This window comes from Homo sapiens, chromosome 11 (assembly GCF_000001405.40).
Source record: "Homo sapiens chromosome 11, GRCh38.p14 Primary Assembly".
Classification (NCBI taxonomy): Eukaryota; Metazoa; Chordata; class Mammalia; order Primates; family Hominidae; genus Homo; species Homo sapiens.
Window position 1 is genome coordinate 124,673,383 of NC_000011.10, and position 24,846 is coordinate 124,698,228.

The 24,846-nt window shown below is 38.5% G+C and overlaps 2 protein-coding genes and 1 long non-coding RNA gene across 7 annotated transcripts in view, besides 4 other annotated features; 2 read left to right on the forward strand and 1 right to left on the reverse strand.

Moving 5' to 3' along the window:
• The window catches only part of SIAE (sialic acid acetylesterase), a 43,191-nt gene extending 40,270 nt beyond the window's left edge, over nt 1-2,921 (reverse strand). For 2 of the 3 annotated variants that reach the window (NM_170601.5, XM_047427133.1), the window contains exon 1: nt 260-357. In NM_170601.5, the coding sequence (NP_733746.1) occupies nt 260-326 (67 nt within the window). In that variant the 5' untranslated portion in view covers nt 327-357. Of the gene's footprint in view, nt 1-259; nt 358-1,875; nt 2,021-2,188; nt 2,296-2,802 lie in introns of those variants that run through there. The other variant, NM_001199922.2, reaches the window with a different exon arrangement.
• Nucleotides 293-412: a silencer, noted in NCBI's record as "silent region_4024". NCBI's record gives its function as "represses an Ori minimal core promoter by ATAC-STARR-seq in GM12878 lymphoblastoid cells {active_cell/tissue: GM12878}" and the evidence as "EXISTENCE:reporter gene assay evidence [ECO:0000049][PMID:35858748]".
• Nucleotides 293-632: a biological region, named in NCBI's record as "ReSE screen-validated silencer GRCh37_chr11:124543663-124543821".
• Nucleotides 385-543: a silencer, noted in NCBI's record as "fragment chr11:124543663-124543821 (GRCh37/hg19 assembly coordinates)". NCBI's record gives its function as "represses an EF-1alpha promoter that drives an FKBP-Casp9 reporter gene in an ReSE screen in K562 erythroleukemia cells {active_cell/tissue: K562}" and the evidence as "EXISTENCE:reporter gene assay evidence [ECO:0000049][PMID:32094911]".
• Nucleotides 453-632: an enhancer, noted in NCBI's record as "active region_5689". NCBI's record gives its function as "activates an Ori minimal core promoter by ATAC-STARR-seq in GM12878 lymphoblastoid cells {active_cell/tissue: GM12878}" and the evidence as "EXISTENCE:reporter gene assay evidence [ECO:0000049][PMID:35858748]".
• On the forward strand, nt 522-24,136 carry SPA17 (sperm autoantigenic protein 17). 3 transcript variants are annotated; one of them, XM_024448583.2, is made up of 5 exons: nt 522-720; nt 1,856-2,036; nt 8,007-8,077; nt 18,314-18,400; nt 20,921-24,136. In XM_024448583.2, exons 2-5 carry the CDS (start codon nt 1,883-1,885, stop codon nt 21,062-21,064), a joined length of 456 nt encoding a protein of 151 aa, XP_024304351.1. In that variant the 5' UTR covers nt 522-720; nt 1,856-1,882; the 3' UTR covers nt 21,065-24,136. The 3 variants fall into 3 exon arrangements, with proteins under 3 accessions (XP_024304351.1, NP_059121.1, XP_011541172.1); NM_017425.4 differs by having other exon boundaries at nt 522-570; XM_011542870.3 differs by lacking the exon at nt 522-720 and adding an exon at nt 812-1,111.
• Nucleotides 2,043-2,723, forward strand: LOC124902780 (uncharacterized). Its single transcript, XR_007062933.1, has 2 exons — nt 2,043-2,180; nt 2,284-2,723. It is a non-coding gene; the product is annotated as an uncharacterized LOC124902780 (long non-coding RNA).
• Nucleotides 24,137-24,846: the final 710 nt, after the last annotated feature.

Sequence of the window (24,846 nt, forward strand, 5' to 3'; positions counted from 1 at the left end):
GACAAGCCGCACTTTCTCCCTGCTCACAGGCTGCATGTCAGGGATGGTAAGTGGGGGGTGGAGAAAGTGGAGAGGCCGGGGTTCAACCCAGCAGACTCCTGCAGACCGGGCCTCGGTCGGAGACGCGAGCCCCTAGCCTAGCTAGGTTCCTTCGTCGACCTTGAGAAAGGGGCGCGGATCCGTGTCCCGCAGAGGACACGGGGTCTCGGAGCCCGCACAGGCTGAGGGGCAGGGGTCCGGCCGAGCCGGGCCGCCTCACCTGCACTTCTGTCGGCCCACAGGATTAATGGCAGCACCAGCCCGAGTACAAGCCCCGGCGCGACCATGCTTGCAAGGATCTGACCGCCGCCTAGGACTGGGAAAGTGGGTTCCCGGCAGGGGCGGGGCCTGGGCGGGGGCGAGGCCGACTCCACCCTTTTGCAGTCCTCGCAGCCTCCCGCGACCTCAGGACTGGGCTGTACTCGCCCCTTCTCGGCCGCCGTAGTTTTTTTTTTTTTTTAAAGAAAAAACGGTTACCCAGCAACTAGAAAAACAACCGGAACCGGCGGCACCAGCTCGGAGAGAAAGGAGGTGAGGCCGCTTCCCCACTTCCTCTCCGATACCAAGACCTAGCCTTTTCCCTTCGTCTCTCTTATTCTCTCAGCATCCCAGACACAGCCTCGGAGCCCTGGGCCGTTTGGGAGCCGAGGCAGCCCATTCTGCGCGAGTCTGAAATCCCAGGTCCTCAACATCCCGCCCCCGACTAGACCCGTCTGCCCCCTCCGCCCGCCCTCCTCTGCCCACATTGGTTCAGAATCTCGCCAGCTCTTTTCACCACTCTAGAATGGTTCGATACCCCCATCTACTGCTCCCTCAGAAAAAGCAAAAGAGAGGAGTCAGGCGTGGTGGCGCGCGCCTGTAATCCCAATTGCTCGGGAGGCTGAGGCGGGATCATCGCTGGAGCCCAGGAGTTCGAGGCCAGAGACCCCCTCTCAAAGAAAAAAAAAGCGATGAAACGAGAACCCTCCATAGTCTGAGCCTCATTAAACCGTCCAGTTCTCCCAACCTGGACCCCTACCACGGCCTCCGCCTCTATTCCGCATTGACGCACACTCTCACATTAACAGGCCAGGTCCCGGAGGATTCTTTTCATACTCAGTAGTAGCTCAGCCCGCTGCTTAGCAGCTACCCTTAATCTAGCCCTTGTATTTCAAGACAGAAAGAGACAACCTGATCAAGAAGAAACCGAAAAATATAAGAATTCTAAAACTTTAGAGGCTGGGATTTCAAAATCATGACACACAGCCCCATCCCATCCCATCCCTCCCTCACACACACGCACGCACAACCCCATTCCACAGTACGAAGGTGTTCGAAGCATTGTGGGTCATGCTTCAGAAGTGGCAGCAAGGGGAAAGATTGTGCAACTTCTTCATTCAACAAATTAATTTCTAGAACCAGGACTAATTTCTACTCTTTAAAAAAAAATAGACCTCAAAGAAGGTCTTCTCAGCAATTGACAATGAATTTAACTTTTTAGCAATCATTCTCTCTAAATTCCTGTGTGATAGCAAAAATTACCCTTACCTTTTGAGCATATAAAGGGTAAAGAGAGAAAAAGTCATATTGAAAATTATGGGTTTTTTGCAGGATTTTAAATGATTTGGCCTAGTGAATGGGTCTGTGTTTGTATTATACTAATTCACAATGGAGATTTCAAAACTCTTTGGAAGAAATGGATGGGCTTGGGTTGTGTTAGGGAAAAAAGAATTCAAGTCCAGATGTATGAGTCTCAGAAATAATTTGTTGGCATAGTTGTGATTATATAAGTAAAATCAGACAAATTTAAAGACAGTACTCTTTAATGAATCTTTAGGTTCCATAGGCAGTTCTTACCAAGAAGATGTCGATTCCATTCTCCAACACCCACTACCGAATTCCACAAGGATTTGGGAATCTTCTTGAAGGGCTGACACGCGAGATTCTGAGAGAGCAACCGGACAATATACCAGCTTTTGCAGCAGCCTATTTTGAGAGCCTTCTAGAGAAAAGAGAGAGTAAGCTTTCTAAAATTAGTCATTTTTTAAAATAAGAAACTAAGCATTTGTTTATGGTAAAACTTGCTTAAGACCATCTCCATTCTGCAGAAAGCCTTTTATGAGGCAGGGAGTTTCAGATAACAGTTCTTGCTCTTTGAAACAGTATGTACCTCTTTGATATGTTCTCTTAAATTCGTTTCATATTATCGAAGATTACCAGTTCATTATTCAGACCGTCTTCATTGTATTTCTCACGGACATACAGCGTGGAAGGTAACTGCAAAAGAGCATACATTTCTCGGGAGAAATCAGTGGGGGAAAAAAAGATCATACAGTCTACCCTCGCCACGTTCCAGCATACTGTTCCTATGCATCCCTGGCAGCTGACTGTTATTCCTGAGATGAGTATCTGTGGTTTCCTTTCAATTTTGATTCCTTCCATTTGAAAGTATTTTAAGTACTGCAAAAAGAATTCTGCACTCTTTAAATAAACTGATATTCACTGGGGTATATGAAACTGTTCTGCAATAACGGCACAGACAAACTGATTTGAAAGGTGGAATACCAGTTTGGAAAGGTAATTTATATTCTTTATGCTAAATTCCATCCTGCACAGAGACCCAGATGCCCACTAACAATAACTATTTGGTTGAAAGCCAAGGCAAAATTCCTTCACTCCTATAAATAAAATTTACAAATCCCCAACCTTGAAGGTTTATGACTGTCAGGACTTTACCAGTTTTGTACTAAAAACCTATCCTAAGCCAGGCATGGTGGTGCGCACCTTTAGTACCAGCTACTCAGGGGCTGAGGCAGGAGGATCACTTGAGCCCAGGGATTCAAGACGGTAGTGAGCTATGATTAAACCTGTGAATAGCCACTGCACTCCATCCTGGGCACTCCCACGACCCCTGCCCCAACCCCTGGAAAGCCATTGTTGATTAGAACATCCATTTTGTATAAATTCTTGTCATCATTACTTTTTATTACAGTATTCTAACAGAGTGGTAAAGGTGACTAGAAATAGGCACAAGCAAACAAACATTCTATTGTAATCATTTTATAGTGGAAGAAAACCTAGCACAAGGGTAGAATTAAAACAACTCCCACACACACTGCATAGCTCCACCCCTTGCTTTTTTTGCCCTGCCCTAGCAGAGCTCAAAATCTCTGCCAATTTCCTGAATGTTGCTGGTCTTTTCCATATCCGGTCAGGGTGAATATCTGTTGCACAATCTGAAACTTTAAATATTTTCCACTGAAAACATTTGATAAACTATATTTAGAAGAGGAACGTTATTAAGAGAAATCATTTGGCAATAGACTTGGGGGCCTATGTGAGAGCAGAGGTAGGAGGAGGGTGAGGATTGAAAAACTACCTATCAGGCATTATGCTGATTACCTTGGTGACAAAATTGTCTCTACACCAAAGCCCCTTAACACAGAGTTTAACCATGTAACAAATCTGCACGTGTATCCCTTGAACCTAAAATAAAAGTTGGAAGGGGAAAAAACTAAAATTATTTGGGAAAAGAGGTGAATTATAATGAACATCAATTTTATTATAAGATTAACTACAAATTCTTGCAGTAAAAGTCTTTAGTCATTTATTTAATTTTAGAACTCAGAAATATTCCATTATAAAAACATTTGCGTCATTGTTACTGGATCACAATAATTAAAGCAAATGATGATTCAGATTAGTGGTCTCAGGACACTAGCTCTCTAATAAACAATGGGTAAAACCATTTGAAAAAATTGTAAGCACCACACCCAATTCCACCCATGTCAACCAAAGACAAATTATCTAGAAGATACAAGTATCAGAATTCAGTCTCTTCAAAAAGGAAAAAAAACAATCATTATGGACCTCTGGCTCAGTCTCCCACACAATGCAAGAATTCCCTTGCCAGCATTCATCATAGGTGGTTACTACTCTTAATTTTTATTTTTGTGATGGGGAACATGTTAGTATATGATTTAAATGGTATTTCAGGTCACTAGGAAAAAGGTGGACTTTTTGTTATTTTAAGATAAAGGAAAAAGATAAAATTGGATCAATTTCTTATACACAAAGACAAATTCCAAATTAGTCGAGTATATAAATATTTTTTAAAAGAAACCATACAGATACTAGAAGAAAATATGGATGAATTTCTCTATAAGAGAAGAAAAAATTTTGCTAGCTAAATTGCTTTAATTGCTTCAAAAATTCGGAAGCAATTAGAGAAAAGATTGTTATAAATTGACAACATAAAAGTAAACTTTTACATGAGAAAAAGCACTGTGAGGAAAACAAAACTACAAAAGACAAACAAAAAATATTTGCAATTTATATCCCAATGGGTTAATAGCCCTAATAAATAAATAGTTTGTAAAAACAGTGTGTTATAGGCTTATAGAATCCAACAGAAAATATTGGCAAGAGGTATGAGCAAACAATTCACACAAAAATGAATGCAAATGGCACTTATGAAAGTATATTCAAACTAATGCATAATAACAGAAGTCCAAATCAAAACTACACTGAGCTACCAATAACAACCCCTCCATTACATTGGCAAAAAGCCAACATGCTCTGTAGGCTGTGGGATAATAAGCATTTATATACATTGCTGGTAGATAAGCAAAATGCCATAACTTCCAGGAGGGGAACTTAGCAATACCTACCAAAATTATATATGTATTTAACCTTTGACCCGGAGGTGCCACTTCTACACTTTTCAGGGCATCATTCTTTGTAGAAACAACCCAAATATCCACAGGAGTTTGAGTGAACAAACTATAATACATCTATACAACTGAATTATATATATAGCTGTTTTCAAAAATGAGAACTATCTCTCGATAATACTATGGATGATACTGTGGAGTGATTTTCGGGATATATTCAGTGAAAACAGCAAGATGGGGAAAAGTGTGCTTAGTGTGCTACCATTTTTTTTTTAAACACAGACGGGGGTCTCATGATGTTGTCCAGGCTGGCCTCAAACTCCTGGGCTCAAGTGATGATCCTCCTGCCTCAGCCTCCCAAAGTGCTGGAATAACAGCTGTGAGAAACAACACCTGGCCAGTATGCTATCATTTAACAAAAGAGGTTGATATGAATACATAACTGTGTGTGTGTGTGTGTGTGTGTGTGTGTGTGTTTGTGTGTGTATTTGCCACAGGGTTTGGCTCTGGCTCTGTCGCCCAGGCTGAAGTGCAGTGGTGTAATCGTGGCTCCACTGCAACCTCCCAGGCTCAAGCAGCCTTCCCACTTCAGCCTCCCAAGTAGTTGGGAACTACAGGCATGCACAAACACGCTGGGCTAATTTTTGTTTTGGGGAGTTTTTGTTTTTTGTTTTGGCAGAGACAGGGTTTTGCCATGTTATCGAGGCTGGTCTTGAACTCCTGAGCTCAAGCATCCGCCAGCCTCCGCCTCCTAAAGTTCTGGGATTACAAGAATGAGGCACCATGCCCAACTTTGTTTATATTTTTAAATGGAAAAGTAAATCTTTGAAAACTTAACATTTGCCTTTAGGAGAAAGTGAACAGGGTAGAGAGAACATGATAGAAAATATCTTGAATTTCGAATCATAAAAGTTTAACATAGTTATAATTTTAAATTTAAAATTGTTAAGCTACTCGGGAGGCTGAGGCAAGGGAATGGCTTGAACCCAGGAGGCGGAAGTTGCAGTGAGCCGAGATCGCACCACTGCACTCCAGCCTGGTGACAGAGTGAGACTCTGTCTCAAAAAAAAAAAAAAAGCAATTTCTAAAATGTAAAAGCAAAGTGAAACATATGAGCCTAACTAGTATAGACTGCGTGACATAACCATACAGAAAGGAATTATTTCAAGTGATATTAAAATGGAGTAATTTGACCGTACATGCCTAGTGCATATATCCTAAAAACAAAATGAACTTCAAAAAAAAAAACCCTTAAGCTGTTTTCAGTAATCATTGTTAATCATATTATGGTATGGTTATTCTGAAATTATATAGTGAAATTATATATTGTAGAACAAAGCAAGTAAGCAACTAAGCTAGTGTTATTAGGAATAAGATTTTTGGTGCAGGAAAAACAACATACAATTATGAAAATGAAAGAGGTTAATAAAATCCTGTAATCTTAAATTTGAGTTGAAAAATATCAGTGTGACCTCATGTTTTCTCTTTAAAAAATGAAAGAAGTATTTTCTAGCTCTGTACATTAAAGGTCTCAAAACAATGACCAACCCAATACCAGTGAGCACCCAGCTTCCAGGTTGTCATCTCTAAATACCATTCCCAGGAATGAGGGCTTCTTGGAAAACAAGCTAATTTCATGAACTTGGCAGGGAATATACCAGATTAGGCTGAACGTCTTGCCATACCAGAGAACAAGGAAGCTATCAAAGGTTACTAGAGGTGTTTCCAAAGGACTCAGGAACATTTGAGCACCTGAATAAGCTACCACTGGACAAATGTTTAATAATTAGAGCATCAATAAGAATAATACGTGCATTGGATTAAAATGCATCCATTTTCTTAAACATTCGTGAATTTGTGATGGTTAAAAAAAAACTCATTGGTCATCCTGAGAGGATCCTAGGAATCCAACTGATTATTCTGAAAACTGGTAAATAAAAGGAAAGGAAAGAACTAAACCTTTAACCTTTCTTTTCTGTAACAACTGTTCTTCGGAGTAACCAAACAGTTGATGAGGAAAAGTTTTCCTTAATGAGTACTCCAGAAAATAAAGAAGTATTGATCAAATTAGAGCATTACCATTTCACAACCCCTAAGGAAATGATCTAAGCAAGGATCATCAGGGGGCCGATAAAAATTATAAAAAGAGTAACCAGATATTATAAATTTTATGACAGAATTACACAGCACTACCAATCAAGTATACTTGCAGAAAAAAAATCAAACCGTCAAACCCGAATTAGATCAAACCTATACAGCTAGCTACCAGTTTACAGGAAATTCAAAGGCTGAAGAACTTGTTAAAAGCCACCATGGGGATAGTCAGAAACATCTGAACTGTGAAAAACTCCAAAGGGAAAATGACGTAATTTCATCAACAGATAAATTGCAAGGAAAGAATAGGGGCTGGGGGCTCTTCCTTTAAAAGAAATTTAAAAGACATACAAAGAGCTGTGTGTGCCCGTTTTCGGGGTCCTGATTTGAACCAACAAATAAATAGACAATGGAAGAAATTTGGATAGTTGACTGAATAGTTGAGGATATTGAGGAATTATTAATATTTTTAGTATTTTGAAGTATGATAATGGTGGTGTGGTTATATTTTAAAAGAGTATATATTGAGATACATTCTGAAATAAATAATTGTAGATAAAATAACAGGATGCAAGGGGTTGGGTTAAAAATAATCAGAAAAAAGTGCAGAAAAATAATCAGAAGAAAAGGTTATAAATAAAATAAATCATGGGTTGATCATTGAATCTAGACAGTATGCTCATGGGAGTTTGTTATCATATCTACTTTTTAAGTATTGAAATTTTTATAATATAAAGTTAAAGAAAAAAATTGTTTAAAAATAAATACCTCTGCTTGTCTGTGTCAACTGTCTACATAATATACTTCATTAAAAAAAATTTCTCCCATCTTTCACTTTTCCAGACTTTCTGACAACTTAGCATTTAGGTTTATACATTTTTCTGTGTTTACTAATACATGTTCTAAGTGTCTACATTTATATTTAAGTACTGGCATTTGTTCTTTTTCCCATTTTATTATAAATTTTATGAAGGCAGAAATTACGTTTTTAGTGCTTTTCTAAATATCCCCAAAGGCTCATCCAATGTTCAGTTGGTTATCATATGTTTAATAATCACTGGTAATGTCTGCAGTGCTACGCTATGCACAATGTCAATAAGATTTTGGACTGCCAGTAAAGAACCTGTAATTTGAAACAAGAAACTTACATTTGTGTCACTATTCTACATTTACCTTAATGAATTCAAATAAATCTGAAGTTCTTATATTTTTATTATTTAGAAACCAACTTTGATCCAGCAGAATGGGGGAGTAAGGTAGAAGACCGCTTCTATAACAATCATGCATTCGAGGTATGGTCCTTTGAAGCTGTTGGATTTGGCTATTTCTTCTCTCTGTCTACAGCTAGCAATTATTAGGCTATCCCCAGAATTGTGAGAATTATGTGAGGAGGCATCACAAATAACTTATTAAATCTTATTAAATTAAAATTTAATAAATCTTATTTTATTAAAAAGATTATTTATTAAAAAGATTTAATAAAAACTTATTAAATCTTATTAAAACTTATTAAATTAAAATTGTGCTGGGATTTTTTGCTGAGAATATTTTTCTAAAGTATCTGAGTCATGTACAGATATTTCACTTAAGTTTAATGATGAACAACAGGAAGAAGGTGCTTAAAAGTTATGAATAATTATTTCATCATTTATTCTTCAAATGTTTTCAGCATCACAGTGCTAAGCAATAGCAGGTACTCCACAAATAATTACTGAATTAATAGATGATATTTCGTAGACCAAAACACTATTAGTCCAATTATTTCATTATCATCGATATGATATTATTGATACAAAAGACCGGTTAGAATTAAAGGTGGTAATGGTGTAGTTTTCTCTATAAAGCTAGCTTTTTCAGAGTCTGAGCCTTTCTCTTTAGCAGCTTTACAAAGACAGCTTTCTCAACCAAGTTTCCTCAAAAAAATTAAGCCCTAAACCAAAGGCACTAATTGCATGTAAGGAATCAGTGTCCTGATTTGTATCTAGAATGGTTCTGGTTAGGTACCATCCTTGGGAGAATTGAGAAAAGAGCTTCTCAAAACATTCTCTGTGTTCCATGGTTCAGATAATGAATGCTGGTTGAGAAAGGCTGTGTGGAATCAGCATTATTGGCATCAACTGGAAACTTGATAGAAATTCAGAGTCTCACAGGAAACATGAAAAACAAGGAAGTATGACACCCCAGAATGAACACAACAGTTCTCCACTAATAGATCATAACCAGAATGAAATTCTTAAAGTCTCAGATAAGGAACTCAAAATACTGATTTTTAAATATGGTCAGTGAGGTGCAAGAGAAATCTGAAAACCAATACAAAGAACTCAGTGAAACAATTCAGGATATAAATGAAAAATTTTACAAGGTGATAGATTTTTATTTTTAAAAAAACCCTAACATAAATTCTGGAATTGAAGAATTTATTGAAGGAAATATAAAATACATTCAAAAGATTTAACAATAGACTAGACTAAGTGGAACAAAAAAATTTTAGAACTTGAATACAGGTCTGAAACAATCCAGTAAGACAAAAATAAAAAAGAATAAACAAAGCCTTTAAGACATTTGGGACAACATAAAGCAGCTGAATATTTGAATTATTGGTATCCGCAAGGACAAAAAGATCAGAAGGCTTAGAAAACCTATTTAATGCAATAATAGATGAAGACATCACAAGTCTAGCAAGAGATTTAAACATCCAGATATAGGCGGTGCAGTGATTCCCCAAATACAATGCAAAAAAAAAAAAAAAGTTTTCACCACAGCACATTAAAATCAAACTGTCTAAAGTCAAAGAGTGAATTCTAAAAACAGCAAGATGAGAACATCTCATCAACTGTGAGGGAAACCCGATCAGACTAATAACCGTACTTCTCAGCAGAAACCTGACAGGCCAGGAGAGAGTGGGATGATAATTCAAAGAGCTGGAAGAAAACAACTATCAGCCAGGAATTCTATATCCAGCAAAATTAACCTTCATAAATGAAAGAGAAATAAAGTATTTCCCAAACAAGCAAATGCCAAGGGCATTCGTCTGTACTAGGCTGGCCCTACAAGAAGTGTTCAAGGAAATCCTAAACTTGGAAGCAAAAAAATGGAAGTTAGCATCATGAAAACACAGGAAAGTATAAAACTCACTGTTAAAGCGACCACACAAAGGAGGAACAGAAATGAATCAAATGGGCCCACTACAGAATTCCACCAGTCCACAATGACAAACAGTAAGAGAAAAAGAAACAATGTATAAAATAACCAGAAAGCAATTAACAATAAGACAAAAGGAACAAAACTCCACATATCAATAATAACTTTAAACATATATGGATTAAATGCTCAACATAAAAGCTATAGACTGGCTGAATGGATTTCTTTAAAAAAAAAAAAAAAACATGATTCAACTATATGCTGCTAATAGGAAACTCACCTTACCTGTAAAAGCATTTAGACTGAAAGTAAAGAAGTGGAAAAAGATATTCCATGCCAACAGAAACCAAAAGCAAGCAGAAGTAGCTATAGTTACATTAGGTAAAACAGACTTTAAGTTAAAAACAGTAGAAAACAACAACAAACAAGTTTATTTTATAATGATAAAGGGATCAATTCAGTAAGAGGATATAACAATTGTAAATATATACACACCCAGCACTGGAGCAACCAGATTCATTAAAAAAAATTTCTATGTCTAAAGACAGAGGTAGACTGCAATACAATAATAGTGAGGGGCTTCAACACCCCACTCATAGCATTAGACAAATTATCTAAACAGAAAATCAACAAAGTAACTGATATCATTTGGCTGTGTCCCCACCCAAATCTCATCTTGAATTGTAGTTCCCATAATCCCCACATGTTGTGGGAGGGATGCAGTGGGAGGTAATTGAATCATGGGGGATGATGGTTTAATAAGGGGCTTTTTCCCCTTTGCTCAGCTCTCATTCTCTCTCCTGCCACCCTGTGAAGAGATGCCTTCCACCATGATTGTAAGTTTTCTGAGGCCTCCTCAGCCATGCAGAACTGTGAATCAATTAAACCTCTTTTCTTAATAAATTACCCAGTCTCAGGTATTTCTTCATAGCAGTGTAAGAACAAACTAATACAGTAATTTTTTTTTTTTTGAGGCAGAGTCTCATTCTGTCACCCAGGCTGGAGTGCAGTGGCACAATCTTGGCTCACTGCAACCCCTGCCTCCTGGGTTCAAGTGATTCTCCTGCCTCAGCCTCCCGAGTAGCTGGAATTACAGGTGCATGCCACCATGCCCAGCTAATTTTTGTATTTTGTATTTTCGCCATGTTGGCCAGGCTGGTCTCAAACTCCTGGCCTCAAGTGATCTACCCACCTCGTCTTCCCAAATCACTGGGATTACAGGCATGAGCCACTGCTTCCGGCCTAATGCAGTAAATTGGTACTGCAGAGAGTGAGACACTGCTGTAAAGATACCCAAAAATGTGGAAGCAACTTTGGAACTGGGTAACAGGCAGAGAGGTTCGAACTCTTTGGAGGGCTCAGAAGACAAGAAGATGTTGGAAAATCTGGAACTTCCTAGAGACTTGTTGAATGGCTTTGACCAAAATGCTGATAGTGATATGGACAACAAAGTCCAGGCTAAGGTGGTCTAAGATGAAGATGAGGAACTTGTTGAGAACTGGAGTAAAGGTCACTCTTACTATGCAAAGAAACTGGCAGCATTTTGCCCCTTCCCTAAAGATCTGTGGAACTTTGAACTTGAGAGAAATAATTTACAGTATCTGGTGGAAGAAATTTCTAAGCAGCAAAGCATTCAAGAGGAAGCAGATCATAAAAGTTTGGAAAATTTGCAGCCTGATGACACAATAGAAAGAAAACCCCATTTTCTGGGGAGAAATTCAAGCTGGCTGCAGAATTTTGCATAAGCAATGAGAAGCCAAATGTTAATCACCAAGACAATGGGGAAAATGTCTCCAGGGTATGTCAGAGACCTTCACAGCAACCTCCCATCACAAGCCTGGAGGCATAGGAGGGAAAAATGGTTTCCTCAGCTAGACCCAGGGCTCCCCTGCTGTATGCAGCCTCGGGACATGGTGACCTGTGTCCCAGCTGCTTCAGCTCCAGCTCTGGTTAAAAGGGGCCAATGTACAGTTCAGGCCATTGCTTCAGAGGGTGCAAACCCCAAGCCTTGGCAGCTTACATGTGGTGTTGAGTTTGTGGGTCCACAGAAGTCAAGAATTGAGGTTTGGGAAACTCCACCTAGATTTCAGAGGATGTATAGAAACACCTGGATGTCCAGGCAGAAGTTTGCTGCAGGTGCAGAGCCCCCATGGAGAACCTCTACTAGGGTAGTGCAGAAGGGGAATGTGAGGTCGGAGCCCACACAGAGTCCCCACTGGGGCACTGCCTGGTGGAGCTGTAAGAAGAGGGCCACCATCCTCCAGACCCTAGAGTGGTAGATCCACCAACAGCTTGCACTGTGCACATGGAAAAGCTGCATACACATGAAAGCAGCCAGGAAGGGAGCTTTACCCTGCAAAGCCACAGAGATAGAGCTTCCCAAGGCCATGGGATCCCACTTGTTGCCTCAGCACACCATGGATTTGAGACATGGACTCAAAGAAGATCATTTTGGAACTTTAAGGTTTAATGACTGCCCTGTTGTATTTCAGACTTACATGGGGCCTGTAGCACCTTTGTTTTGGCCAGTTTCTCCCATTTGGAGCAGGTGTATTTACCCAATGCCTGTACCCCCATTGTATCTGGGAAGTGACTAACTTGCTTTTGATTTTACAGGCTCATAGGCATAAGGAACTTGCCTTGTCTCAAATAAGACTTTGAACTTGGACTTTTGGGTTAATGCTGGAATGAGTTAAGACTTTGGGAGACTGTTGGAAAGGCATGATTCTGTTTTGAAATGTGAGAGCATGAGATTTGGGAGGGGCCAGGGGCCAAATGATATGCTTTGGCTGTGTCCTCACCCAAATCTCATCTTGAATTGTAGTTCTCTTAATTCCCACATATCATGGGAGGGATCTCGTGGAGGTAATGGAATCATGGGTGGGGGGGGGGTGGTTTTATAAGGGGCTTTTCCCTCTTTGCCCCACTCTCATTCTCTCTCTTGCCACCCTTTGAAGAGGTGCCCTCCGCCTTGATTGTAAGTTTCCTGAGGCCTCCCCAGCCATGCAGAACTGTGAGTCAATTAAACCTCTTTTCTTTATAAATTACCCAGTCTCAGGTATTTCTTCATAACACTGTGAGAATGGACTGATACAATAGCATTGGACTTAAACTTGACTTTAAACAAATGGACCTAACAAACATTTACAGAACATTCTACCCAACAACTGCAGAATATATATTCTTTTCATCAGCACATGGAACATTCTCAAAGATAGACCATATTGTGTTAGGGCACAAAACAAGTCTCAACAAATTTTAAAAAGTCAAAATAATATCAAGTATCTTGTCAGACCACAGTGGAATTAAACTAAAATTCAATACCAAGAGGAGCTTTGGAAATGATACAAACACATGGAAATTAAACAACATGGTTCTGAATGTCTGTTGGATCAAAAAAGAACTTAAGACAGAAATTTAAAAAAAACTGTTTGAAACAAATGAAAACTGGAAACACAACATAACAAAACCTATGGTATACAGAAAAAGTAGTGCTAAGAGAGAAGTTGATAGCAATAAATGCCTACCTCAAAAATGTAGAAAGATTACAAATTAACAATTAAAGGATGAACTCAAGCAACTTGAAAAGCAAGAACAAACGAAACAGTAGCAGAAGAGAGAACAAAGATCAGAGCAAAACTAAATTAAATAGAGACTAAAATAACAATACAAAGGATTAACAAAACAAAAAGTTGGTTCTTTGAAAAGATAAATAAAATTGACAAATGGCTAGCTAGACTAACCAAGAAGAGAGAAGACCCAAATAAACAAAATCAGAAATGAAAAAGAAGACGTTACAACTGATAGCACAGAAATACAAATGGTCATCAGAGACCATTATGAACAATTATACACTCACAAACTAGAAAACATAGAGGAAATAGATAAATTCCTGGAAACATACAACCTACCAAGATTGAACCAGGAAGAAATAGAAAACCTGAACAGACTAATAACGAGTAGCAAGATTGATTCCATAATAAAAATCTCCCCCACCCCAACACCACCAAAAAAAAAGCCCAGGACTGGATGGTTTCACAGCCAAATTCTACCCAGTTCTACATACAAAGGAGAGCTAATACCAAGCCTCCTGAAACTATTCCAAAAAATTGAGAAGAATGGATTCTCCCTAACTCATTCTATGAGGCCAATATCACCCTAATACCAAAATGAGACAAGGACCCAACAAAAACAGAAAACTGCAGATAAATATTCCTGATGAACATAGATTCAAAAATCTTCAACAGAATACTAGCAAACAGAATCCAACAGCACATCAAAAAGGTAATAAACCATGATAAAATCAGTTTTAAACCAGGGATGCAAGGATGGTTCAACATATGCAAATCAATAAATGTGATACATCACATCAACAAAATGAAAGACAAAAACCATATGCAGAAAAAGCATTTGATAAAATCCAACATCCCTTCATGATAAAAACACTCAACAAACTAGGCATAGAAGGAACATACCTCAAAACAATAAATGCCATGCACAAAAATCCCACAGCTAATATTATACTGAATGGGAAAAAGTTAAAAGCAATCCCCCAAAGAACAGGAACAAGACAAGAATGCCCATTTTCACCCGTCCTATTCAACATAGTACTGGAAGTCGTAGCCAGAGCAATGAGGTAAGGGAAAGAAATAAAAAGCATCCATATTGGAAAAGAGGAAGTCACTTATCTCTGTTCACTGATATATATATGTATATATATTCAGGGATGGGGTCTCACTCTGTCATCCAGGCTGGAGTGCCATGGTGTAATCATAGCTCACTGCAGCCTTGGCCTACTGTGCTCAAGGGAATCTCCCATCTTATCCTCCCAAGTTGCTAGGACTACAAACATGTGCCACCACACTGAATAATGTTTTTGTCTTTTGTAAAAACGGGCTTTTGCTATGTTGTCCAGGCAGGTCTCAAACTCCTGGCCTCAAGTGATCATCCTGCCTTGGCCTCCCAAAGTGCCGGGATTACAGGCATGCATCACCATGACTGACTCCCAATATAATCTTATGTCTAGAAAAATCTAAAGACTCCACCAGAAAACTCTTAGATTTGTTAAATGAATTCTGTAAAGTTGCAGGATACAAAATCAATGCACAAAAATCAGTAGCATTTCTATACACTAATAACAGTCTAACTGAGAAAGGAATCAAGAAGGCAATCCCATTTATAATAGCTTTAAAAAACACATAGGAGTAAACGTAACCAAGGAGGTGAAAAAGCTGTACAAGAAAAACTACAAAACACTGATGAAACCAATTGAAGATGACACAAGCAAATGGAAAAGCATCACAGGCTCATGGATCAAAAGAATTAATATCTTTAAAATGACCATACTTCTCAAAACAATCTACAGATTCAGTGCTGTCCCTATCAAAGCACCAACTCACTTTTCACAGAATTGAGAAAAACAATCCTAAAATTCATATGGAACCAAAAAAGAGTCCAAATAGCCAAAGCAATCCTTAACAGGAAGAACAAAACTGGAGACATCACATTACCTGACTTCAAATGATATTATAGGTTGGTGCAAAAGTAATTGCCATTTTTGCTGTTACTTTTAGTGGAAAAGACAGCAATTACTTTTGCACTAACCTAATACAAGGCTACAGTAACCGAAACAGCATAGAACCGGTATAAAAACAGATACATAAATCAACGTAATAGAGGAGAGGAGCCAGAAATAAAGCATATACATATAGCTAACTGATCTTTAGCAAAGCTGATAAGACCATATATTGTGGAAAGGACATCCTCTTCAATAAATAGTGCTAGCAAAATTGGAGAGCCGTATGTAGAAAAATGAAATTGGACCCCTATCTCCCATCATACACAAAAATCAACCCATCATGGATTAAAGACTTAAACATAAGACCTAAAACTGTAAAAATACTAGAAGAAAACCTAGGAGAAACTTTACTGGATATTGGTCTAGGCAAAGAATGTATGACTAAGATCACAAAAGCACAGGCAACAAAAACAAAAATAGACAAATGGGACTTAATTAAGCTAAAAAGCTTTGCACAGTAAAAGAAATAATCAACAGAGTGAAGAGATAAGCTGTTGAATGGGAGAAATTACTTGCAAACTATTCATCCAACAAGGGACTAATATCCAAAATACACAAGGGAGTCCAACAATTCAACAACAACAAAAAATAAGTAATCTGATTAAAAAGTGGGCAAAGGGCTGGGCGTGGTGGTTCATGCCTGTAATCCCAGCACTTTGGGAGGCAAGGCAGGAAGATTGCTTGAGCCCAGGAGCTTGACATTAGCATGCGCAACATGGTGAAACCCATCTCTTCAAAAAATTAGCCAGACGTGGTGGTGTGCACCTGTAGTCCCCAGCTACTTGGGAGGCTAAGGTGAGAGGATCACTTGAGCCCACAGGTCAAGGCTGTAGTGCACTCCAGCCTGGGCAACAGAGTGAGACCCTGTCTCAAAAAAAAAAAGAAAAAGAAAAAGAAAAAAGAACTTGGAAAAGGACATGAATAGAGATTTTTTAGAAGAAGACATACAGATGTCCAACAGGTATATTAAAAAATGCTCAATATCACTAATCATCAGAGAAGTACAAATCAAAACTACAGTAAGATATTATTTTACCCCACTCAGAATGGCTACTATGAAAAAGACAAAATAATAACAGATACTGGCAAGGATTCAGAGAAAGGAGAACTCTTATACACTGTTGTCAGGAATGTAAATTAGTATAGCCTCTAAGGAAAGCAGTATGGAGATTTCGCAAATAACTAAAAATAGAATGACCATTCAGTCCAGCAATCTCTCTACTAGGTATCTACCCAAGGGAAAATAAATCAATACATCAAAAGATACATTCATTTTTATGTTGTTTGCAGCACCATTCACAATAGCAAAGATATTGAATCAACCTAAGTATCTGTCCAATGGATGAATGAATAAGGAAAATGTGGGATGTATACACAATGGAATACAATTCAGCCATAATACAGAATGAAGTCGTGTCTTTTCCAGCAACATGGATGAAACAGGAGGCCATTATCTTAAGTGAAACAAGCCAGGCACAGAAAGACATGTAGTGCTTGTTTTCATTCATAAGTGGGTGCTGAAAAAATGTGTTTAAATGGACATAGACGTGGAATGATAGATAATGGAGACTCAGAAGAGTGAGGAGAGGTGGGAGAAAGGAGAATAATGAGAAATTGGTTAAAGGCTAAAATGTGCAGTATTTGGGTGATGGACACCCTAAAAGCCCTGACTTGATCACCAATCCACACATGTAACAAAATTGTACATGTACTCCATAAATTTGTACAAATATAAAAGAAAAAGAAGAAATTCAAAGTATTGGGCCCCATTCCAGGTCTACAAATCAGAAGTTACATTTTTAAGAGATCACCAGAATAATTCGTAGGTACATTAAAATTTGAGAACACTGCTCTAGACAACTGAGGTAGTACTATTAGCCACAAAGCACAGCAGATATTAGAATTGAAAAGAATTAACAAAGTTCAAGTTCTCCAGTAGATTTGGGGAATTTCTTGAAGAAGGAGCTGTCACTTATTACACAAGTTTGAAAGTGAAGTTCCATCCATTTGTGCCTGCAGGTATGGGTGTGTTCTGTGTATTTCCATTTTACTAGATTCTCTGTGCTCATGTTTTATTTGTATTCATGTTTATCGAAGTCAAAGGAATAATGTTGAAAGATTTTAAATCCTTGCATCACATAGCAATTTTGGGGTGTTTCTTTTTTTAATTCTAAAGGCTTTATTTGATTAACTTATATATTCTTAAATTTTGGTTTTATGGGTTAAAGAAGCTCTTTCCATAGGTGTGAATTAGCAATGAAGGAAGACTTAAATAGCCATGTCAAAATAGGCAGAGGTGGTTTCTCCTTTTATATTTAAATCATAAAGCAAAACTCCACAGCAAAACTTACTTCTCTGACTAGTTTTAATCCATAAACGTCACTAAAAAGTCAATTTGATGTCACATTATGGAACACAATGCCATTTATTTTATTCCTATTTTAGAAACTATTGGATCCTCTTTTTTATACTTTGTTCAGGATTCATTACATCATCTTATCAACTTTTAGTATAGGACAGTGGTTTATTTTTAACATAAAACAGTGGTACACACATTCCAAAAGCAACAGATCAAACATTTTTGCCAATTATTTGGTCTTTAATATTTGTTTACACGTATTTCCTTAAGAGCTTTTATTATTTCTTCTTGTTTCAATGTATTTTCCTTATTAAAAGATAAATACGTAGTATTTAATTCCCCCTATTTCTCAGTAATTTAAAGTAATGTTTCATTACTTCTAAGCAGTTTGATACAAGACTTTGCCATTTTGGAAACATTGCTAATTGTGGCTCTCTCCTATCTGTCCAGGAGCAAGAACCACCTGAGAAAAGTGATCCTAAACAAGAAGAGTCTCAGATATCTGGGAAGGAGGAAGAGACATCAGTCACCATCTTAGTATGTAATATTTTTCATGTACTATTGGATTCCTACAAAGAATGATATTGCCCAATTTAAAACTGAACTCCAAATATGAATGTCTGTTATCTTTATTGTCAAAATTATGACTTTACTTTCCAGATAATTAACATCAGTGATAAACTAACTGGTAGATAATTTTCAGCCATGCCTCTCTTGATCAAAAATTCATTTTTCCTTTAAAAATGAAATCTTATTTTTCAAGATTGTTAATGGATGGAAAAATCTCCCTATGGGGAAGGGCAGACAGAACTCACAGACCCAGTCATGATCCTTCAGATTCATCTTCCACTTTGGGAATTTTTCACTAATTGGTGCTGTCACCACTACACAATGGCAAATTTCAGAGATAACAAAAGGAAAATCACAGGGAATTACATACAGCCAAAATAATGGCTTTACAACAATGTGGCTTATTCATCTTCCATGCATAACGCTCTACAAAAATGCCTTCGTGCCTGATGTACTACATCCAAGCAGTCAAGACATAGCGGAGGCCGGGCGTGGTGGCTCACGTCTGTAATCCCAGCACTTTGGGAGGCCAAGGCAGGCAGATCACGAGGTCAGGAGATTGAGACCATCCTGGCTAACACGGTGAAACCCCATCTCTACTAAAAATACAAAAAATTAGCCGGGCATGGTGGCGGGCGCCTGTAGTTCCAGCTACTCGGGAGGCTGAGGCAAGAGAATGGTGTGAACCCGGGAGGCGGAGGTTGCAGTGAGCCAAGATCACGCCACTGCACTCCAGCCTGGGCGACAGTACAAGACTCCTTCTCAAAAAAAGAAAAAAAAAGACATAGCGAAGTCCACCCTCAAAGGCCCATTGTTCAGTAATGTCACTTTAATAACTTGAAGTCAGCCACAATGAGAATATTAAGACCATGGCAAACACTGCAAATCAGGGCTTTGTTTCTTCTGGAGAGCCAGTTGTTAAAACACTTACCAGTACATCATTGTCTATATTCTTCATACTCCAGACTCTTGTGGACTAGGCCTCATAAGAAAGAAGAACTCACTCTCTAAAATGTCGAAGTTCAAACTTCTGAGTTCCTTTTTATGTCTCAGGTCCCAGGTAGTTGCCCAAGAACTGGCAGCCAGAATGGATATCCCCTCAAGGAATACCCTACTTCCTACCTAGTGATGCATTGCTTTTCCCTATAAGATTTACAGGTTGTTCCACAATTGCCATTGGGTTGTACTGAAATAACATTACATTAGGATATAACAGGAAGATTAACATTAAGATGTAACAGGAAGTCAAGGAAGAAGGGAGTTTTATTTCCTTACATCTTTCATAGGTGCTTTTACACAGGTTTTCATGAGTTTGAGTAGGGATCTCATTGATTTCCAACTTGAGTGTATTTGTTTGCTATATTAGGATGTCATCTCGAAGAATTTTATACCATTCTGTTTGCATTTAAAAGTTTAAGAGCTAGATTTGTCTCATTATTTATAATAGGGGGATAGGAGGCTTGAGCAACCCAAAGGTCCATTAATATGAGATTGAGTAAATATTAAATCAAGGTACATCAGTATAATATAATGATGTCATAAAAAAAGAATGGGGAGAGTTATACACTGACTAATAATACAGAAAAAGAGAACCAAGATATATCGTTACATGGAAAAAGTAGCTGCAGAACTCTGTGATTAGGATGATCTCATTTTTAAAATAAAAAGACATATATATATATATATACCCATATGAATATATTTGCATATAGAGAAATTTTGGAAGGATGTAGATACTCAACTCATAATAATGGGTATCTCCCAAGAGCAGGATTTGGATAGGTGGAGAAAACTATCACTGCCAGTGACATTTGAGTTTTTAAAGTGTATACATGTCATTTCTATAATTTTAAAAGATATATTAAAAGCTGTATATTCAATTGTACGCTGAAGATTCATGCATTTTACTGTCTGTAAATTTATAGCTAAAAATTTATACCCAATTTTTTTAAAAGAGGGTATGTGCCAAAGTTCAACCAACCCTGTTAAAACTGACATTATTGGACTAAATGGATTTCTCTTTGGCACCTCACTTTAAATGTATGACGATGATTAACTAATCATTGAGAAATTGAGAAGTTATTCTAATTCATTATATGTAATTGTGATTATTTTGAAACATAACATTTACAGTTCTTTCTTCTTAACATTTTTACCATGCCTCAAGGATTCTTTCTTGTCCCCCCAACCCCCCAAAAAATGTTGTTGCTCAGGAAACTTAAATAGGCACTATTTTAGGGGAAAGAAAGTTGGCAATGATCTTTTGTTGCAGAGACATATTAAAAGAGTGACAAAACAAAATGCCTGCTATTTTGGCATTTGCCATTTGGTACATATACAATGTGACAATATATGAAATTCCCTCAGGAAGCAACAGCTCTCAGATAGTTGCATCCCTAAAATGATTAAATTTCATCCATTTATTTTTGTGGCATCAAAACTACGCCATATTTAAAGAGTCTCTTACTTTTTCTCCTTTCGATGAAGGACTCTTCTGAGGAAGATAAGGAAAAAGAAGAGGTTGCTGCTGTCAAAATCCAAGCTGCCTTCCGGGGACACATAGCCAGAGAGGAGGCAAAGAAAATGAAAACAAATAGTCTTCAAAATGAGGAAAAAGAGGAAAACAAGTGAGGACACTGGTTTTACCTCCAGGAAACATGAAAAATAATCCAAATCCATCAACCTTCTTATTAATGTCATTTCTTCCTGAGGAAGGAAGATTTGATGTTGTGAAATAACATTCGTTACTGTTGTGAAAATCTGTCATGAGCATTTGTTTAATAAGCATACCATTGAAACATGCCACTTGAAGATTTCTCTGAGATCATGAGTTTGTTTACACTTGTCTCAAGCCTATCTATAGAGACCCTTGGATTTAGAATTATAGAACTAAAGTATCTGAGATTACAGAGATCTCAGAGGTTATGTGTTCTAACTATTATCAAATGAATAAATCCTCTCTATCACATCCCCCAAAAATGTTCTTTAGCTCCTGTTTCACTCCTAGTGGTAAAGAATTTCACTGCTTTTTAAGGATAGTCTATTTAATTTTGGAATTTTTAGAAAGATAAGCTGGGACAAAAATCTGCCTCCTTCAGCCTGGCCAACATGGTGAAACCCCATGTCTACTAAAAGTACAAAAATTGGCCAGGCGTGGTGCGCACACCTGTAATCCCAGCTACTCGGGAGGCTGAGGCAGGAGAATCGCTTGAACCTGGGAAGTGGAGGCTGCAGTAAGCCGAGATCGCACCACTGCACTCCAGCCTGGGCGACAGAGCAAGACTCTGTCTCAAAAACAAAACAAAACAAAAAAAAGCCTCTGCCTCCTTGTAAGTTTAACCCACTGGTTTTCATTTATCATACATGTATTCAATCATTTATTGAAAATGTATTGAGTACTATTCATGTGCTGGGAATTAGTAGTGAATACTTGTTCTTACACTCATACAACTTACAATGCTTTATTGTTTTGCTCTCCAGAACCACACAGAACAAGACTAATAACATCATATTGTAAAAAGCAAAAGCTATCATATCATGCTGCCTTCTTCAGTTAAAACTTCCCAAGTTTTTAAATATACAATGGTAATGCCTGTTTAACAAACTCAGAGGCTTTATCTCTTTTATGTTTTCAATGATTCATTCAAATCCCTAGTGCCTTAGTTTTAGAAAGTTCCGTCTCTCCTTTTTGAGGCCTCTCCACCCTTGATTGTCCAAGAAACTGAGGGTTCATGTCTTAGACCAAAGGGTGCAGTTCTCTTCCCAATACAAAAGGTAGAAAGTGGAGTCTTACCATTTAGTTAATGCTGTTGCCTTCTACCATAATGTTGTAGCATAGTCCAGCAGACTGAGGTGATTCTCTGGCTGGTTCCAATTCCTGCCTGCACCATAGTGGATGGCCCATGATTTAGTTCCAGGATTACATCTCTCTTGGTTTATAGTCACAAAGCCAGTGTTCCCCCAAAGCTTAAAAACAAGCCAGGATGGCTCAGTCCTGAGGAGATTCTAAAACCAGGTCTATGTTGTCACAACAAATACTCTCCTACAAACACTTTGATCCTTGTCCTAGGCTTAGACATGCTCTTTCTGCAAAGCAGTTTTATTTCAGGTGCCTCACTGCCCTTCCCTGGCACTGAGCCTTTATCAGGCTCTGCAACAGAGGTTCCCCCAAGTGATCGCCACTCAAACACAGTTGATTCACACCAACCCTTTCAAGGTTGTGGCTTTCATTCTCTAATGTCCACTCATACAGGCAGCCTTTCTCCTTCCAAAATCTTGCTGCCACTGTAGAGAGTTTCATGCTAGCTAAACACAAGTCTCTAATATCCCCCTTCCTCTCCTCCTTAACCCCTCTCCTCCAGGCTTACAGAGGAAAAGAAATCAGTTCTCCTCCAGGATTCCAGCTGTTCGTCCCTCCCATTCCACTGAAAGCACCAGCTTCTAACACCTTCCCCTCTCAGACAGAGCCATCCTGCTTAGCGGATTGTCAAGGGGGGACCCAGAATTTATGCAAAGACTTAGATTCCCTGACCTGGAGAGATCAGAAGAGGAAAAAAGGGATTTTTTCCCTAGTGAGTATATAGCAGGAAAAAAAAAAAAGATGAGTTAGCTTTTTCAGTAATTCTCCTGTTATACACATAAAGTGACTAGCACTATGCATTCCATACACACACACACACACACACAGATCTCATGGTAGTGATATTGGTAGTGAAGGAGGAAAAGGAAAAGGTGAGCAATGGATGTGATATTATGAGAACAACACATATGAATGACACTTTATTAGAACTTATCTGGTTTTCCTCTTATCTCTCTGGCTGTTCCTTCTCAATTCCCTTCACTGGTAACTCTTCAACTCCCCAACCACTAAATGCTAAGTGCCCTTAGGCTCAGTCTTTCGACCCCATTTCTACACTCACTTGATTTCCTGCAGTTTCATAGCTTTAAAATCCAATCTTCTTAATGATCACTCCCAGACCTTTCTCTCCTCTGCCTGCGAACTTCTATATTCAACTGCCTACATAACATCCCCATTTGGATGTCTATAGGCATCTCAAAAGTAACATATAAAAAATGAATCCTGATATTGCCCCCAAATCTGAAACTTCCCCCACACCCAAGTTTTTCCATTCAAAAATGGCTGCTCCATTCTTCCATTTGCTCAGGCCAAAAACCTTGGATTCATCTTTAATGCGTCACTTTCTTTCACACCCCATATACAATCTATCAGCAAAACCTGTGGGCTGTACCTATAAAATAATACTCAGAATCTGCCTACTTCTAACCACTTCCATTGTTACCGCCTTGGTCCTAGTTCCCATGATAGCCTTGTGAATTATTGCAATAACCTATATTGGCCAGTGATTATCTCACTACTACTGCACAACCCATTCCAAAGTTAGTGGTTTAAGACAATTATATTTTCTCCTGGGTCTGTAGGTCAGTGGTAATGTAGCTAAGCTAGGCTGGACTACAATCTCAAGGTTAGGTTCAGGTCAGCTCTAAGCTGTGGGTTTGTGGGCTGACAGGAAGGTCTGCTTCAGGCTGTGGGCCCAAGGGTCAGCTGCAGCACAGTGCCTCTGCTTCACGTGTCCTTTTCTGAGCCCCTGCTGAAAGACGTTATCCAGGACAAGCTCTTCTCATGCTGGTCACAGAAGACAAGCAGGAAAACCCAGCATGCAAGAATATTTCAAGCTTTTGCTCATATCACTTCCACTGACATCCCATATACAAAAGAAAGTCATCTAATGAAGCCCAAAGTGAGGAGGATGAGGAAATACACTGTTCACCAATAGCAAAGGCTTCATGTGTGCATAATACTACTACAGGGTAGTGAAGAATTGCGACCAGTAATTTAATCTACCACGATCTGCTTTCTTGATTATAATTATGTCTTTACCACATGCAAAAATTGACCCACTCCTATCCCAAAACCCCTAAAAGTTCCATCACATCTTTGAAATCCAGGATCTCATGATCTACATCAGGTCCAGATATAGCCCTTCTTGATATAGAGACCTATGAATTAAAAGAGCAAGCATCTTTTTATCACATACCAAACATACAACAAATGATGGAATAGAGACAATAATAACCACAAAAAAATACTCTTATTCACAAAGGGGAGAAATGGAAGCAGATCACAGCCACTGGTCCATAACAATTAGGAAAACTCATTGGACAATGGTTGTCAGGTTCCTCCATTGGAGGGAATTGTGTTTCATGATTAGGCACTGTTTCTGCTCCTTAAAAATGACTTTCCAGTCTATCCTCCACAGCTCTTTGTTCTACACTCTAGGGAATCATTCTTTTTCCCTCATCTTCCTTAGTCACTTGCAAAGGACATTAGAGAATATGCCCTTTTTGGTGGATAAATGGGTTCTTCAACCTGCTTTCTGCCTGTAGAAAATTAG